At 42.0% G+C, this 17,029-nt stretch overlaps 1 protein-coding gene across 2 annotated transcripts in view; it reads right to left on the bottom strand.

Annotated features, from left to right (window-relative positions):
- The window catches only part of SLC9A4 (solute carrier family 9 member A4), a 60,747-nt gene that overhangs the window by 29,688 nt on the left and 14,030 nt on the right, over nt 1-17,029 (bottom strand). For both annotated transcript variants that reach the window (NM_001011552.4, XM_011511158.2), the window contains exon 3: nt 578-837. In NM_001011552.4, the coding sequence (NP_001011552.2) occupies nt 578-837 (260 nt within the window). The remainder of the gene's footprint in view (nt 1-577; nt 838-17,029) is intronic.

The following is a 17,029-nucleotide window of genomic DNA, read 5'->3' as shown; positions in this document are numbered from 1 at the left end:
GTCAGGAGATCGAGACCATCTTGGCTAACATGGTGAAACCCCGTCGCCACTAAAAATACAAAAAATTAGCCGGGCGTGGTGGCCAGTACCTGTAGTCCCAGCTACTCAGGAGGCTGAGGCAGGAGAATGGAGTGAACCCGGGAGGCGGAGCTTGCAGTGAGCCGAGATCGTGCCACTGCACTCCAGCCTGGGCGACAGAGCGAGACTCTGTCTCAAAACAAACAAACAAAAAAACACTTTTCAAGGAAAAAAACACACTACTGAGATGAGAACTTAACCTTGAAGTTTCCCCAGATTTTCTCTGTACCAGCTTTCCTGAGCCTTCTAAATTGACGTGATAATTGCTATGCTTTCCTCCTCAGGCAAATCACAAGAAGATGAAGGCAGGCATTGGAGAGAACGTTGGTTTGACAAAGAACCCGAATCAGGTTTCATAAAAGTTTAGAAGATCCTAAATCTGCAACATGTTGGAGGGTTAGCGTCATTGGTTATGTCTTTCCCAGATGCCTGGCTCATGTGATGTGGTTCTAAACTTTCTTTCTATTACTATGTGACTTGATCCTTGGTTTGTACTCACGCCAGGATGCCGGAGAGATAGAGGGTTTCAGCAGCTAAGTAAGACAAATAGCTGAACATGAAGACGATGAGTGGCTCAATTGCAGAGATATTCTGAGTGAAACGTGTGATAAATGCAGAAATAAATCCAAAAACGATGCCAAACAATACCCCTCCAAGCCCCACAACGATGAATCGGGCACATCCAGCCAAAATGTCGACAGTTTCTATGTCTTCAAATTTATGCATCTTTGTAAAGGCAATTAACATATTGTATAAGACCTAGGCAAAAAAGAGAGTAAACAAATATGAATTATGAATAGAAACTAGGAACACTTTGCATGCACATTCTCAGCTTTGTGTCTAGTTAAGTAATACACAAAAATAAATTACACAACAAAAAATACTAAGATGACTGCCTTTTAACTGTATTCCCAATAATTTAGATGTACACAGTTTCACTGAATAAAAAGTGTAATACTCACAACTTCCAATCACTGAGCACCTACTACGTGCCTGTCTCTTTGCAAAGCTTTCAGTGGCAGTTAATTTATTGCCTCTAGACTCCAAATGAACCCTTCCATTTGTGTTCTATAATAGACAATGGAATTCCTTTAAGCAATTTTTCCTTAAAGTGAGCACCTAGTTAAGCTCTGTCCGTAGAGGGCCTAGAAAGGACATTCAGGTGCAGGCAGAAGGGCCTTCCTGCAGTTTTTCTGGGGCCTGTGGGGAGAGTCAGCCACGTGGGTGTGAGGAACTCCAGCGGATCCTGCCTGAGCCACAGGCTCTGAAAGTGATCCCTCTGCAACCCTGCGGCTTTGGCCTGGTGATAACCTGTCTGCAAAAAGCCCCAGCATGACCCACGTGCCACATGTCTGTGGCCCAGGGCTCCACCCGAGCAGCCCACGCTCTGAGAGCCTTCTCCCCGTCCTCCCATGCAGCCTGCTCCTCTGAAGATTCTCTGCCATCTCCCAAGTGCAGGCTCCCACTGCAGCCCTGGCACAGGGATTGCTGACTGATGTCTGGCCCTGCCTGCCTTCCGGAGGGTGGTCGATTGTTTGCCCACCAACTCCAGACCAACTCCAGTCTGGATAAAGCAGCCAACTTCTCTGCTACCCAGTGGCCAGTCCACACCTTCTCCAGTAAAAGGTGAACCCCTCCCAAGCGTGTCCTTCCTTGGGGGCCCTCCCTCAGCCCTAGGGTACATAGAGAGTTTCCTTATATCTTATAGTTATGCCTTTATTATAGTTAATACATTTTATAATGCATTCACATTTTTTATTTAACCTATCATGTGGTGTATCTTACCTGATTGCACCTAGACCGTTATACCCTCCATACACATCATTTCATCGAATCCCCCAAACGATTCTAGCCTATGTGACACACACTCTGAATTTTCATGTTATTTCCCTATTTATTTCAACATTTATTTTGAAGCTGCAGGGATCTACTTATCACTATTTTATGCCACTCCATAGCCCAGAACTATGATCTAGGTCCTGAAAAGCAGCAGCAGGTGTACAGGTAATGAGACATAGAGAAGAGCTGAACGAAGATCTCTGCAGAAAATGAAGACCTTTGGGAATATCAGCCCCTGAAGAGTCCTGCGAAATCACAGTACTTGCCTCTTAGCATCTATCTACACCAGGAAAAATGCAAAAAATCAGAGCAGAGGACGGAAGCTAAAACTCAAGGAAATCGTGGCCGTGATGGTATTCTGCGTGCTGCAGAAGCATAGATGGACTGTGTGGACCTTCTAGAACTGATGATGCCCCCTCACCTTCACAGTTGGCTCTCATTGCCCCTCTGGCTGTGGCCCCTCATGCTGCACCCTGCCAGGCTCACCCACGCCTTCTGCTTGACTCTGATCTCTCCAAGATGGGAATCATCTTCCTTATGGAGACACTTAGTGTCTCCACTGAGTGACAATCAGTATCACCACTGATCTTGGGTGTGGTCTGACAGCCCTTGGGTTCTGGGTTTGGCTTCATCCTCAGGACTCACCAGAACCACACACTGCTTTGTGTGCACACCAACCCCTTGCTGTGGTCTGCAGCCTGCAGGAAGCCATTCCTCCCCCAGCCCCTTTCCTAGCTAGTTCTGGCCCCTCCAGGTCCTCTGTAAGCCCGACCTCTGCTGATTCCCTATAACATCACCTCCATTATAAAAGATTGTTGTTTTTGGCTGGGCGTGGTGGCTCATGCCTGTAATCCCAGCACTTTGGGAGGCCGAGGTGGGTGGGTCACCTAAGGTCAGAAGTTCGAGACCAGCCTTGCCAACGTGGTGAAACCCCATCTCTACTAAAAATTCAAAAAATTAGGCTCATGCCTGTAATCCTAGCACTTTTGGAGGCCGAGGTGGGCAGATTGCCTGAGCTCAGGAGTTCGAGACCAGCCAGGGCAACGTGGTGAAACCGTATCTCTACTAAAATACAAAATTTAGCCAGCCATGGTGGCATGTGCTTGTAGTCCCAGCTACTTAGGAGACTGAGGCAGGAGAATTGCTCGAACCCGGGAAGTGGAGGTTGCAGTAAGCTGAGACCACACCAGTGTACTCCAGCCTGGGTGCCAGAGCGAGACTCCATCTCTTGAAAAAAAAAAATTAGCCAGGCATGGTGGCGCATGCCTGTAATCCCAGCTACTCGGGAGACTGAGGCAGGAGAATCACTTGAACCCGAGAGGCGAGGTTGCCGTGAGCTGAGATTGCACCATTGCACTCCAACCTGGGTGACAAGAGCGAAACTCTATCTTACTAAAAAAAAAAAAAAAGATTGTTGCTTTTCCACAGAGAGGTTGGCAGTAAATGATTGCTCATGTGCAAAGTTGTCCCTAAGCTGCTGTCCTGTTTTGTTCATAATCATGAACAGTCAGAGTGCATTGATGACAAAGGCCTTCTCCTTGCTCTCCCTTCTAAAGAATGCCTCACGTTTGTTTGAGGGAGGCTGTCCTCTAGGGACAGATACAAGCAAAAGCAGCAGGAGGTTATGGGATGGACATATTTATGCTGCAGTCACCATGTAACTGTACACTTTTTGTTACTCCCTTATGTGCAGATATCAAACATCATACAGAGTGGCCCTGGGCTTGGGAATGTGAGCTGGCAGTGAGGGGCATGGCTTGAAGTAGCTCAGGTGTCATCAGTCCTCATCTAGGAAGTTTCATTGACAATACACTTTGTTGACGGGGGAGGCCACACGAGGAGGTTGCACAGTGGCCCTCTGCTAATGAGTTTTTTGTCCACAAGCACCTCTACAATAAGGCTCTGTCACCTTGACTCCTATATGACTCTCCTAGGGATGCTGTGACAAAGTACCACAAGCTAGGTGGCTCAAATTAACAAAAATGTATCCTCTCACTGTTGTGGAGACTAAGAGTCTGGACTCGAGATGTCGGCAGTGCTACGCGCCCCCTGAAGGCGTTAGGGGAGGGCCCTTCCTTGCCTCTTATGAGCTTCTTCTGGTGACTGCCGGCAGTCCTCACCGTTCCTAGGTTTGTGAGTGCATCACTCCAGTCCCTGCCTGCGTCTTCACCTGGTCTTCTCTGTGTGTCTCCTCTGTGTCATATCACCTTCTTATAAGGACATCAGGCATTGGATTAGGGCCCACCATAGTCCAGTGCGAGCTCGCCTTCAATAAGGATAACTGTAAAGACACTGTTTCCAGTTACGATCCTATCCTGCAGTTCCAGGTGAGCATGGATTTTTGAGGGGACACTATTCCAGCCAGTACAGCTTTTATAAACAAAATGACCATACTGTGAAATTAACTTGTGTTACAGACTAGAAGTTTTCGTTATAAATCTCTCAGAGCACAAATAATTTTATTTTGAATTTTACAAGGTCTTAAACTCTGGCTTATTCCCCAAATGGTTCAATCATGTTTCTTAAGAGAGCCTAGGATGCAGGTTTTGAGTGTATAAATTAGTGCTCACTGTTCAATGTAATAAGTAACCAGTAGCCAATAAGCATGTTTAGATAAGGGAATGTGGGCAGAAGGTTATAATAGGCTTGCCTTCTTCCCTCAAAGATAAGTTTCTAGTGTATTTTCTGGGAGGAGAGGAAGCTGGGGAAGATGAAGAAGAATCAGAAAGCTTGGTGCCAATGGGTCCAAGCAAGTACACACACAACATACAGACACATGCAATAGACACACACAACAGACACACAAGCAACAGACACATGCAACAGACACACAGACACACACACATACCATGAACATTGTGAATTTCTCGTATTAGGAAAAGAATTACTTAAAAAGAGAAAGACTTGCAGAGATCTTAAACTGAATTTGGTTAAGAATATACATGAAAAAGTGTAGAAATTGTCCAGAAACAAAAGAGCAAAGGGAAACCCCCACAAAAGTCCCACAATCCCTCCTAGAGAAAACTACTACAGATATGTATTTTCTAATTCTATCTATCTATCTATCTATCTATCCATCTATATATCATCTATCCATCTGCTGTCTATCATCCATCTCTCTATCTGGGGCCATCAGAGCCCCTCAGATCTCTAACTGCAGGGATGCCCATCTGCCATTCTCAGCTAAGGCCTGAGCTTGGCAGGGACACTGAGATAGGCCCCTTCCTGGAAGGCAAAGGACTCCTTGGATACGTGTTTCAGCCTGTGGGTTCCTGATGAGCTTAATAAACTCTCTAAGAAGTGCAGCAAAGACAGTCCCATCCAGCTTCTGTCCTTCCCTCTCTCCTTCCCCTGGAATCACTCTGCACTGCGACCTGAGGGCTCTCCCATCCCCCTGGGCTTCTTCCCCATTTTCCCTCACAGGAGTTTCTTTAGTAAAACTCTTGTACATTTAATGCACTCTGAGTGTCTGATCCATGAAGGACCTGGACAACATCTATTGGTCTGTTTGTGTATCAATCACACTTTACAAAACTGCTAAAATCCTGGTCTATTTTATTTAAACAAACTGAAGCCATGCTTTAAGAAAACCTGGGCTGAGTATTTGAAAAAAAATGTGACATATGATTTTGAATGAATCCAAAAGAATCTCAGTGGTTGTGTCTTGACTCGGTGAGTTTGTTTGTCCAATTTCACTTTCTGCCACATATGGGTCTTAGAAGGCCTGAGTATTGCACTGTTGGAGTTGAGCTCACACTGAAAGGAGTGAAGCCACAGTGAGGAGTCACACACTCCCCACAATCCCAGAAAAGGAAAGTCTGAATGAGGTTAAGTGGAACCTGTTTATTTGACTCTCAAATCCAAAGGAAACTCAGAGAATATGACCGAGACTCAAAGATTTGAATATTGTTGCCACAAACTAAAACTCTTTCACATAGCTTGTTAGATTATTAGTAGCTACCCAGACTGTCCCAATGGCCTGGGAAAGTCAACTGGGCCAGCCTTGTCTCTGGACACCAGTGTGCCCTGCCAGGAAGATGCCATGGCAGTTTCAGAAGCTAAAGTAGTACATATAATTAAGAAGACTGCATTTACAATCACAATCCTTACTACTGCACGAAAAACAGTTCTTACCTTTCAAATTACCAGGCTCTGGGTAACATTATAGTTGCAAAAGATTTTCTTTGGGTTCATTTCAAGTCACAATAATGTGTGTGTGTCTTTTATACACTGAAGGGAAAAGCTCAGCCAATGCTAAATCTCAAACATGTCCACAGCCCCATGGAGAACAAGGTTAGATTTTTCCTCTTCACTCATTGTCTCAGCAAACGGTCCTTTTTGTTACCTTTAACAGATTTTCCAAGCCTTCCAACATTATAATAATTATGATCCTTTAGCTGATGCCACTGTAAAAGTTTGCAAAGCCCTTTTAACACACAGAGACTCACACAATGACTAAAAACATTAGTCCTTCGACCAGGGCTCAGCAGAGATGAAGAGTCAATTCCAAATGTGCTGACATTTTTTTTCTTGTTAACTTTATTGAGGAAAGACTTACATATGGTAAACTGCATCTAAAATGAATGAATTCTGGGCATTGTAGATACTCATAAAGCCATCGCCATAGTCAAGATATAGAAAAATCCCAAGAACCCTGAAAGGTTCCTCATTCATTTGAAGTCCATCCTTCTCTCCGACCCTGGCCCCAGGAAATCTCTAATTTATTATTGTCACAATAGATTAATTTGCATTTTATACAGTTTGAATAATAAATTATGAACTCCTTTTTTCGGGCTTATTTAACTCAGCATGATGTTTTTGAGTTGCCCAAGTTGTTGCAGGTGTTAGTGGTCCCTTCCTTTTTATACCTGAGTAGTATTCCACTATCTGGTTATGGCATATTTTCTTCATTTATTTACCTGTTTACCTGTTAATGAATATTTGTCCACTCCCAACTCCCCAGTTTTTGGCTGTTTGAATGTTGCTGCTGTGAACATTCATGTACAAGCCTTTTTTGTAGACCTATGTTGTCATTTCTCTTGCGTATATACCTAGGAGTACAATGGCTAGGTAGTATGGTAGACACGTGAAAGTTTTAAGAAACTGCCAAATTGTTTTTCAAAGTCATCATGTCAGGCCAGGCACGGTGGCTCATGCCTGTAGTCCCAGCACTTTGGGAGGCCGAGGCAGATGCATCACTTGAGGCCAGGAGTTCAAGATCAGCCTGGCTTACATGGTGAAACCCTGTCTCTACTAAAAATACAAAAATTAGCTGGGTGTGATGGCATGTGCCTGTAATTCCAGCTACTCAGGAGGCTGAGACATGACAATCCCTTGAATCTGGGAGATGGAGATTGCAGTGAGCAGGTGAGCAGAGATATGCCACTGCACTCCAGCCTGGGCAACACAGTGAGACTCTCTCTCAAAAATAGATTAAAAACAAAACAAAGTCATCATATCATTTTACACACCCACCTGTGGAGACTGAAGCAACCTCATCTTGGATGCTAATCCACCATGATGATTTCTGATTAATCCCAGTTCTGGGAATGCCTCTAAGATTTCTGTTTTATCTACTGTTCTTTTTGTAAAAGCACATACTATAAATTGTGCCCTTGATTTACAGTAAGTGAAGTAAGTACAGTAAGCCCAAACAACTTTGCCCATAAATTCTGCCCATAGACAGATTTATACAACATTCTTGCCTTTCCCTACAATTGTCCTACACATTCCTTCTCTATGGTATATAAGCCCTGGGTCTGGGAGCTAATGGCATAGTGCTCCACCATATTGTCTCATCACTGCTAAAGACAAAAGCATAGCTTCTGTTCCTAAGTCTCTGCTAAATGTTTATTTCTAAAAAACTAGGTATATCCCTCCCTTTTTTCTGCCTCTCAGCTTCCTTGGACTTTCAGTGTAGATTTGGACAAACCCTATCTACTGCAGAACACCACCAGAAATGTATGAGATTCCCAGTTGCTCCATATCCTTGTCAGCACTTGATATTGTCAGTTTTTTAAATTCTAGTCATTTGAATGGATGGGTGGCATTTCACTGTGATTTAATTTGCATTTCCCTGATTACTATGTTGCGCATATTTTCATGTGCTTACTGACCATGAGTATATCATCTTTTATGGTGTATCTGTTCAAATCTTTTTCTTATTTTCAATTGAGCTGTTTATACCCTTATTGAGAACTAAAATTATTTAAAATTATTTCCATATTCTCTATGTCTTTTGTGAAATGCATGTATAGTGAAGGTTTTCTTTCATATGTAGCTTGCTTTTTTGACTGTGCATTTTGAAGAGCATTTTTTTTCTTTTGATAAAATCCAATTCATTGCTTTTTCTTTTTTGTGTGTGTTTTGATTTGTGCTTTTCCTGTCTTTTGACTACTCCAAGGTCAAAAAGTCTTTGTTTCTATAGTCATAAAGATTTTACTTCCATGTTTTCTTCCAGGAGATTTATAATTATACCTTTTCCATTTCATCTATGATACATGTTGTGTTAATTTTTAAATATGGCTTGAGGTTAGGGGTGATTTTCATGTTTTCCACATGGATACCAGAGTTTTTCAGTACCATTTGTTGAACAGACTTTGCCTTCCATTGAATTGCCTTAGTTCTTTTGCCAAAAATTAATTGGCCATGTATATGTAAGTCTATTTCTAAACTCTCCAGTCTCTTTCATAGTCTATATCTCTATTCTTTAATTAATATTGTCATTTGTGTAGAATTATTATAATTATCGTGGCATTATAGTAAGTCATCAAATAAGTCTTTCAGCTTTGTTCTTTAGTTTTAGACATTGCTTCATGTAATCTAGGTCATTCACATTTCCAAACAGATTTTTAGAATCAGCTTTGTCAGTTTCTACTAAAATGTTTTCTGGGATTTTGATGGGCTCTTATTGAATCTATAGATCAAATAGGAGAAAACTGATTCCTTAAAAATGTTTACTCTTCCATTAATGAATATGACATTATTTAGGTCTTCTAATTCCTGCCAGCAATGTTCTATAATATTCAATGAAAGGATCTAGCATATCTTTGTTAAATTCACTTCGAAGTATTTCTGTTTTGGGAGTACTTTTTAATGTTATTTAAAAGATATCTAAAATGTTATTTTCTTTCTTGAACCATGAAACATCTAGAAGTTTGTTTTTTAATTTCCAAATATTAAGACTTTCCTAGATATTTTAAATATATTTTTAATTCTGTTGTGTAAAAAAAATATACTCTGTATGGTAACAAGTCTTCTAAAGTTATTGAGGCTTCTTTAGTTGTCAAATGTATGGCCATTTTTATTAAGCATACCATAAGCCCTTGAAAATAATGTTGAGTTTGCGGTAGTTGGGCCTAATATTCTATGAATAGGAATTAGGGCAAGGTGGTTGATAATATTCAGATTCTCCATGCCTTGCTAATATTTTACTTAATTTTAGTATCATTTCCTAAGAGAAAGGTATTAGAATCTCCTACTAAAATTATAGAATTGTCATTTTCTGCCTTTCAATTTGTCAATTTTTAATTCATGTATTTTGTTGCACTAATATTAGGTGGATATACATGTACAATTTTTAGGTATTCTTGATTAGTCAGCTTTTTTATCATTATGATAGATCCTTCTTTATCTTTGTAATACTTTCTATCTTTATGTCTTTTAACTGATATTAACGTAGCCAAATCAACATTCTTATGCTTATTGTTTGCTTGGTTTATCTTTTTGCATCCATTTACTTTCACCTTATTTATGCCTTTATAATTAAATTGCATTTCTTATAAATAGAATATATTTGAGCCCCGCTTTATAATCAGTTCTGTTAATCTCTGACTTTTAATTGGAGCGTTTAGTCCATTAACAGTTAATGTAATATTGTTATGGTTAGTTTTAGATCTACCATATTACTATATATTTTTTTATTTTCCCTTCCTTCACTCCTGGTTTATTGTCTCTTCCTGCATTCATTTTTATTTATTGAATACTTGTTAGAATTCTATTTTAATTTTATCTATTGACCAGATTTTTTGCATCATGTTTAGTGGTGCTCTACAGTAACATCCTTAACTTTTTACAGTATACTTTTGGCTAACATTATACCAGTTCATATAAAATAAAGAAACCTTATAGCCATGTCAGTTCATTAAATGTACTGATTTTTAACTGTCCTTAAGAACCAAAGTAAGAAGGCTCTTTGTAGTCATAATATTAAATCTTATGGATTCATATGACACTGATAGCTGAGGCCATAATCATAATTAATTGCCTTTCTTTGTGACCACCAACCCTCCTAGTCATGATAGTTATGGTCCCCACCATGCACATGGATCCCTGTAAGGGTAAATTCTATGACATAGCATCTGAGGAAGGGTTTAGTCTTGTTTGACTACATTACTTTTAACAGGGGACTTTCTACTCAGGGGTGAGAGTAGACAGACCCTCAAGAAGTCTGTCTATAGACTGGGGTCTGGGAAGTAGTCTGAGGTGAAACACTCTGCCCAGCTTGCAGTTATGGTAACTGTTTTTTCTGTCACAAACATAATTGATTTGGAATAGATGACTAGATAAATACAATGAGATAGATTAAGGGACAATGAGGGACCATGAACAACTATGAGTTGTGGGACAGAAAAACTGAAAAATAGAAACTAAGAGTAGGGAAAGGATAATTGAGTGGATGATATGGAAGCTAACTGGAGTGGTGATATGGTTTGGCTGTGTCCCCACCCAAATCTCTTCTTGAATTGTAGTTCCCATAATCCCTATGTGTTAGGGGAGTGACATGGTGGGAGGTAATTGAATCATGGGGATGGTTACCTCCATGCTGTCTTCATGATAGTGAGTGAGTTCTCACAAGATCTGATGGTTTTATAAAGGGCAGTTTCCCTGTACATGCTCTCTTGCCTGCCACCATGTAAGACGTGACTTTGTTCCTCCTTTGCCTTCTGCCATAATTGTGAGGCCTCCCCAGTCATGTGGAACTGTGAGTCAATTAAACCTCTTTCCCTTTATAAATTACCCAGTCTTGGGTATTTCTTCATAGTAGCATGAAAATGGACTAATGCAGTAAATTGGTACAGGTAGAGTGGGGTACTACTATAAGGATACCCAAAAATGTGAAAGTGACTTTGGAACTGGGTAACAGGCAGAATTTGGAACAATTTGAAGGGCTCAGAAGAAGACAAGAAAGATTGGAACTTCCAAGAGACTTGGAAGGCTCAGAAGACAGGAAGGTGTGTGAAAGTTTGAAACTTCCTAAAGACTTGTTGAATGGCTTTGGCCAAAATGCTGATAGTGATATGGACAACAAAGTCCAGTCTGAGGTGGTCTCAGATGGAGATGAACAACTTATTGGGAACTGGAATAAAGGTAATTCTCTTTATGTTTTAACAAAGAGACTGGCAGCATTTTGCCCCTGCTTTAGAAATCTGTGGAACTTTGAACTTGAGAGAGATGATTTACAGTACCTGGCAGAAGAAATTTCTAATAGGCAAAGTATCCAAGAGGAAGCAGAGCATACAAGTTTGGAAAATTTGCAGCCTGACTATGAGCTAAAAAAGAAAAAAAACATTTTCTGGGGAGAAATTCAAGCCTGCAGCAGAAATTTGCACAAGTAATGAGGAGCTGAATGTTAATCACCAAGACAATAGGGAAAATGTCTCCAGGGTCTCCAGGACATATCAGAGACCTTCACAGCAGTCCCTCCCATCACATGGCTGGAGGCCTAGGAGGGAAAAAAATGGTTTCCTGGACTGAGGCCAGGGCCCCCCTGCTCTATGCAGCCTTAGGACATGGTACGGTGTGTCTCAGCTGCTTCAGCTCCAGCTGTGGCTAAAAGGGGCCAAAATACTGCTCAGGTCATTGCTTCAGAGGGTGTAAGCTCCAAGCTTTGGCAGCTTACACATGGTGTTGGGCCTGTGGGTGCACAGAAGTCAAGAATTGAGGTTTGGGAACCTCTGCCTAGATTTCATAGAATGTATGGTAATGCCTGGATGTCCAGGCTGAAGTTTTCTGCAGGGGCAGGGCCCTTATGGAGAACTTCAGCTAGGACAGTGCAGAAGGAAAATGTGGAGTTGGAGCCCCCACACAGACTCCCCATTTGGGTGCTGCCTAGTGGGGCTGTGAGAAGAAGGCCACAGGCCTCCAGACCCCAGAATGGCAGATCCACTGACAGCTTGTACCTTGAAAAGCCACAGACCCTCAACACCAGCCCATGAAAGCAGCTGGGGTGGTGGGGGAGGTGGGGGCTGTACCCTGCAAAGCCACAGGGGCAGAGCTGCCCAAGACCATGGGAACCTACTTGCATTAGCATGACCTGGATGTGAGACATGGAATCAAAGGAGATCATTTTGGAGCTTTAAGATTTGACTGCCCTTCTGGATTTTGGACTTGCATGGGGCCTGTAGCCCCTTCATTTTGGTCAATTTCTCCCATTTGGAAGAGGTGTATTTACCCAGTGCCTTTACCCCCACTGTATCTAGGAAGGAACTAACTTGCTTTTGATTTTACAGGGTCATAGGTGGGAGGGACTTGCCTTGTCTGAGATGAGACTTTGGACTGTGGACTTCTGAGTTAATGCTGAAATGAGTTAAGACTTTGGGGAACTATTGGGAAGGCATGATTGGTTTTGAAATGTGAGGACATGAGATTTGGGAGGGGACAGCGGTAAAACAATATGATTTGGCTGTGTTCCCACCCAAATCTCATCTTGAATTGTAGCTCGCATAATCCCTACTTGTCATGGGAGGGACCCAGTGGGAGGTAATTGAATCATAGGGTGGGTTTTTCTCATGCTGTTCTCGTGATAATGAATAAGTCTCATGAGATCTGGTGGTTTTATAAATGGCAGTTCCCCTGTACATGCTCTCTTGCCTGCTACCATGTAAAACGTGGCTTTGCTCCTCCTTCGCCTTCCACCATGATTGTGAAGCCTCCCCAACTATGTGGTGCTTGAGTCCATGAAACCTCTTTTTCTTTATAAATTACCCAGTCTCGGGTATTTCTTCATTAACAGTAAAAAAAAAAAAAAAAAAAAAAAAAAAAAAAAAAAGCATTAGTACAAATGGGAAGAGAAATAAAAAAATTCAGTTGAAAAAGCAGCAGAGTGTGAGCAAGCGACCAAATGCATCCCTGATGAGGCTCCGAAATGACAATGTAATAGCTATTAGTACTGCTTATCCAATATTTCTTTCCCTTCTAGGAATCTTGTAGGATTGCACTTCTAGTCTCTTTGAGGTTGGTTGTCACCATGTGATTATGCCTGGCCAACTTTTGAGTTTGAGAGTTTTTGTTTGTTTTTTTCTCAAGAAAGAATTACAAGAGAGAGTTTCAAATAGAAGAGATATATGTCATTTCCAGAATGGGGCATTTGCTTGCTGAGGTGAGACCCTCCAGAAATCTCTCTTTCCTCCAGCACAGTGACCAGCAATGTTCAATATGGTAACTGCTCTATAAGCTAAAGACCTTGAGTAAACATTATGAAGGGAGAGACCTGTTGGCTAGCAAAAGGCAAGTAGTACAAGTAAGAAATAAACCTTTGTTGTTTTTGGCTATTTAGGTTTGGAGAGATGCTTATTACACAGCATAATCAAGTTCATCCTGATGGTAAAAGATCTATGAACTTTTGCTTCTGAAATTCCTAAAAGCAGCTTGGTTCTAGATGAACCTTTGTGACACCTCATCATAAAGCACTTATTATTCCTGGGTTCCTGAGGGGTCAGCTACGGGTTGAATCATGCCCCCCTCTCCAAATTTATATGTTGGGGTTTAACTGCCAGTACCTGATAATGTGACTGCATATAGAGACAGCATCTTTCAAGAGGTCATTAAGTTAAAATGAGATCATAAGGGTGGGGCCTTAATCCAATATGATTGGTGTCCTTATAAGAAAATGAAGAGATACTAGGGAGGGTCACACAGAAGAAAGGCCACATAAGGACAAAGCAAGAAGGTAGCTGCCTGCAAGGCAAGGAATGAGGCCTCAACAGAAACCAACCCTGCCCACATCTTGTTCTTGGACTTCCAACCTCCATAATGTGAAAGAATAAAAGTCTTTCATATTTCAGAGATTGTTTCAGCCCCCCAATCTCTGCTATTTTATTACAACAGCCCTAGAGGGCTAATACAGAGGGCTATGTCTTCCTCATCGCCTTGCATATCTTTACAATTAATCTTCACTGCTTGAGCTTGCCATAACTCAGTTTCTTAAAACAAAAAGCCTAACTAATTACTGACCCTTTATTTGTTTTACTGTCAAGTTAAAAAAAAAAAACGTTGGAAGTTAAGAGTCACAACATAATACAATAAGAATGATCTTTCCTGCATGCCAAATAATGGAAAAATGCAAAGAATATCATAAAGACCTGTAGTAAACAACCTGACTCAAAAAATTAAATGATGAACCCAGTTCATTTTCTAGCTTGTATTAAGGAGCTCTGGCATAGTAAACTCTGTCATGGGCAGTTTATTGGCAACCACCTTCTCTGACTTTCCAACCACAAAAGGAAACCAACTAAGAAGACCAGCAATTACCTAGCAAGCTTGCATAACAATGTGAAAAGCAGAAGAGAGGAAGCTCTTTCACCTCACTCCTAAATGAGGGGAAAAAAAGACCTGAAGCCCAGGATAGGGAAGTTAAACAAGGTGTTCATCCATGTTCATGGGGTTGAGATCTCTGGACATTTATCCTTTCTAAGTTCAGCGAACAGAGGCCAAGCTGGTGAACTGAATGGATGGCAGAACACGTAATGAGGAGGAGAAAAAAGTATGTGTATCAATAAATCCTGTTTATTGACCTAGGGTGCAGCAATGACATTTCTTTAAGGAATTCTTTTTCAATTTAAAAAGTTTGAAACTCTTCTGAACTTGAAGAAAGATGGAGGATTGCCATAGTTCATAGCTGCAATTATCACCTACTTGCCAATGACTTCCAAACATGCATCTTGTTTGAGCTCTGGCCCAGGCTCTAGATTTTCATTTCTATAACTACCGAACAATTTCTTTCAATTGCCTGTAGGTTTCTAAGACTCAACAATTAAAAACCAACCTAATACTATCATCCACCTCCACCAACACCTGTTCCTCACCCATGGTGCCATCCAAGAACCCACCTGAGTCTACCACCCCTCAGTCTATGCAAATCCCTCTCCTCCTTCACTCCCCACATCAATTTGGAGCAAATGACTTTAGGACTATCTTTCACCATCTAGTGTCAGTTCACCTGCATGATACAAAAGGTAGTTTAAAAGCCACTTAACCTCAAAACTCTTTTAACCATAAAAGCAAGCATCAGTTGTAACTGATAGATTTAAACTCACTAAAGACTAGCTCTGTAATTTGCTTTTTCTGAGAGGGAGATTGCTCTGGCATAGTGGAACAAGCAGTGTCTGACCCTAAGTAGTAGCTCAGTAATATTTTTTGATGAATGAATGGATGGATGGATGGAGGATTAGAACTCAGGGGACCTCTGGCTCCACCAGACACGACTGAACTTAATTGTTAACATAAAGGAATTAGATTTCAGGCCTGGCGCAGTGGCTCACGCCTGTAATTCCAGCACTTTGGGAGGCTGATGTGGGTGGATCACAAGGTCAGGAGATCGAGACCATCCTGGCTAGCACGGTGAAACCCTGTCTCTACTAAAAATACAAAAATTAGCCGGGCGTGGTGGTGGGCACCTTTAGTCCCAGCTACTCGGGAGGCTGAGGCAGGAGAATGTCGCGAACCTGGGAGGCAGAGCTTACAGTGAGCTGAGATCGCGCCACTGCACTCCAGCCTGGGCAACAGAGCGAGACTCCGTCTCAAAAAAAAAAAAAAAAAAGGAATTAGATTTCATGGTCTCTCAGCTTTCTCAGTGGTATTAGCCTATTACTCACCAACAATCAAAGCTGGTCCTGTGGGGTAAGGAGGAAAGTATGGATGACCTCAGCCTGGAGTCAGGGTCAATGGCTTCCTCCCTCACCCATCGCCTGGATCTAGTGCTCCCATCCAGGCCTGTGTAACAGGTTCTGCTGGATGTCATCCATTTATGCAACCATGGAGGAAGCTATAAGGAAACTATTTGTCAGCCAGCACCTCCCAAACAGCCAACTCATGGGGTTTTTCACGTGACACCGGGCATGTTTTTTTTCCCACTGCAGCCCAACACACCCACAGACCCTTAAGGATGCATGAACGGGTGTTGTTGGGGGTGGGACAGCTGTTGAAAACCACAGGACTAGGAAAGTCCCCAGGCTGTGCTTGAAGCTCTACGCTTTTCTCTCAAGTCAGGAATTTCTATTAATGTATTATGCAACTTCCTAGGAATTCTCTGTGGCTAGAAAGGATTCTAATAAAATACAGAACAAGCAGGTCCATGGTTAAAAGGAATAATCTACAAACAAAAAGAAATAAGTCATGTGTTCATAGCTGTGGCTCCTCAAAGGCAGGAGATGAAGCTTGTTTGCTTCTGCATCCCAGGCACTCAGCAAGGCTGGCGGGAGAGAACTTCTCCCATGCGCTTTTCTGCCCTCTTTCTGATTACTCCCTAAAAAGCTAAAGCGACATTGCTTTTCTCCCTGTTTCTCTTCCAAATCCATTTCCATAGCTGCTCAACCCCATCTCCTGACAAAGAAAAGACAACTTGATAACGAGAGGCTTTTTCTTTTTTCTTGTGCATGTGACCTGAAGTGAGTTCTAATTACTCCTAGGTAGCTCACAGTGTAGTCTAGTTGAAAGCCAATTTGTACAATTCAAACTTCAACCATTCTGTTTATTTAGCCAGAAGAAAATGAACCAAACAGGTGTTTGATGAATCAAATGGGAGGCATTGCAATGAAATAATACAGTGCCCCTCCAGCCCTGTCCTGCTCTAGCATGCCTCCCAAGGATTAGCCCACACCCCTCAGGCTGCTCCTTAAAGGGCAAGTCTGTGGCTTAGACTCCACAAGTGCAGGAAGTAAAGGGGTTGTCTGTTGTGGAAGGTTAGGAGTCAGATTTGGTGAACCTCTGCCCCCTGCAACACTCTCCTTCATTTACTGGGACCTGCACTGATCTGCTCCTCACTTCTCCCAGGTCCTCCCACCTCCCCAGCCAAGTCCAAGCTCTTCATCACAAGCTATAGTGGTTGCTGCAT

This window comes from Homo sapiens, chromosome 2, assembly GCF_000001405.40.
Source record: "Homo sapiens chromosome 2, GRCh38.p14 Primary Assembly".
Lineage (NCBI taxonomy): Eukaryota > Metazoa > Chordata > Mammalia > Primates > Hominidae > Homo > Homo sapiens.
The sequence above is the reverse complement of the archived record's forward strand: the minus strand, read 5'-3'. Positions and strand labels throughout refer to the sequence as shown.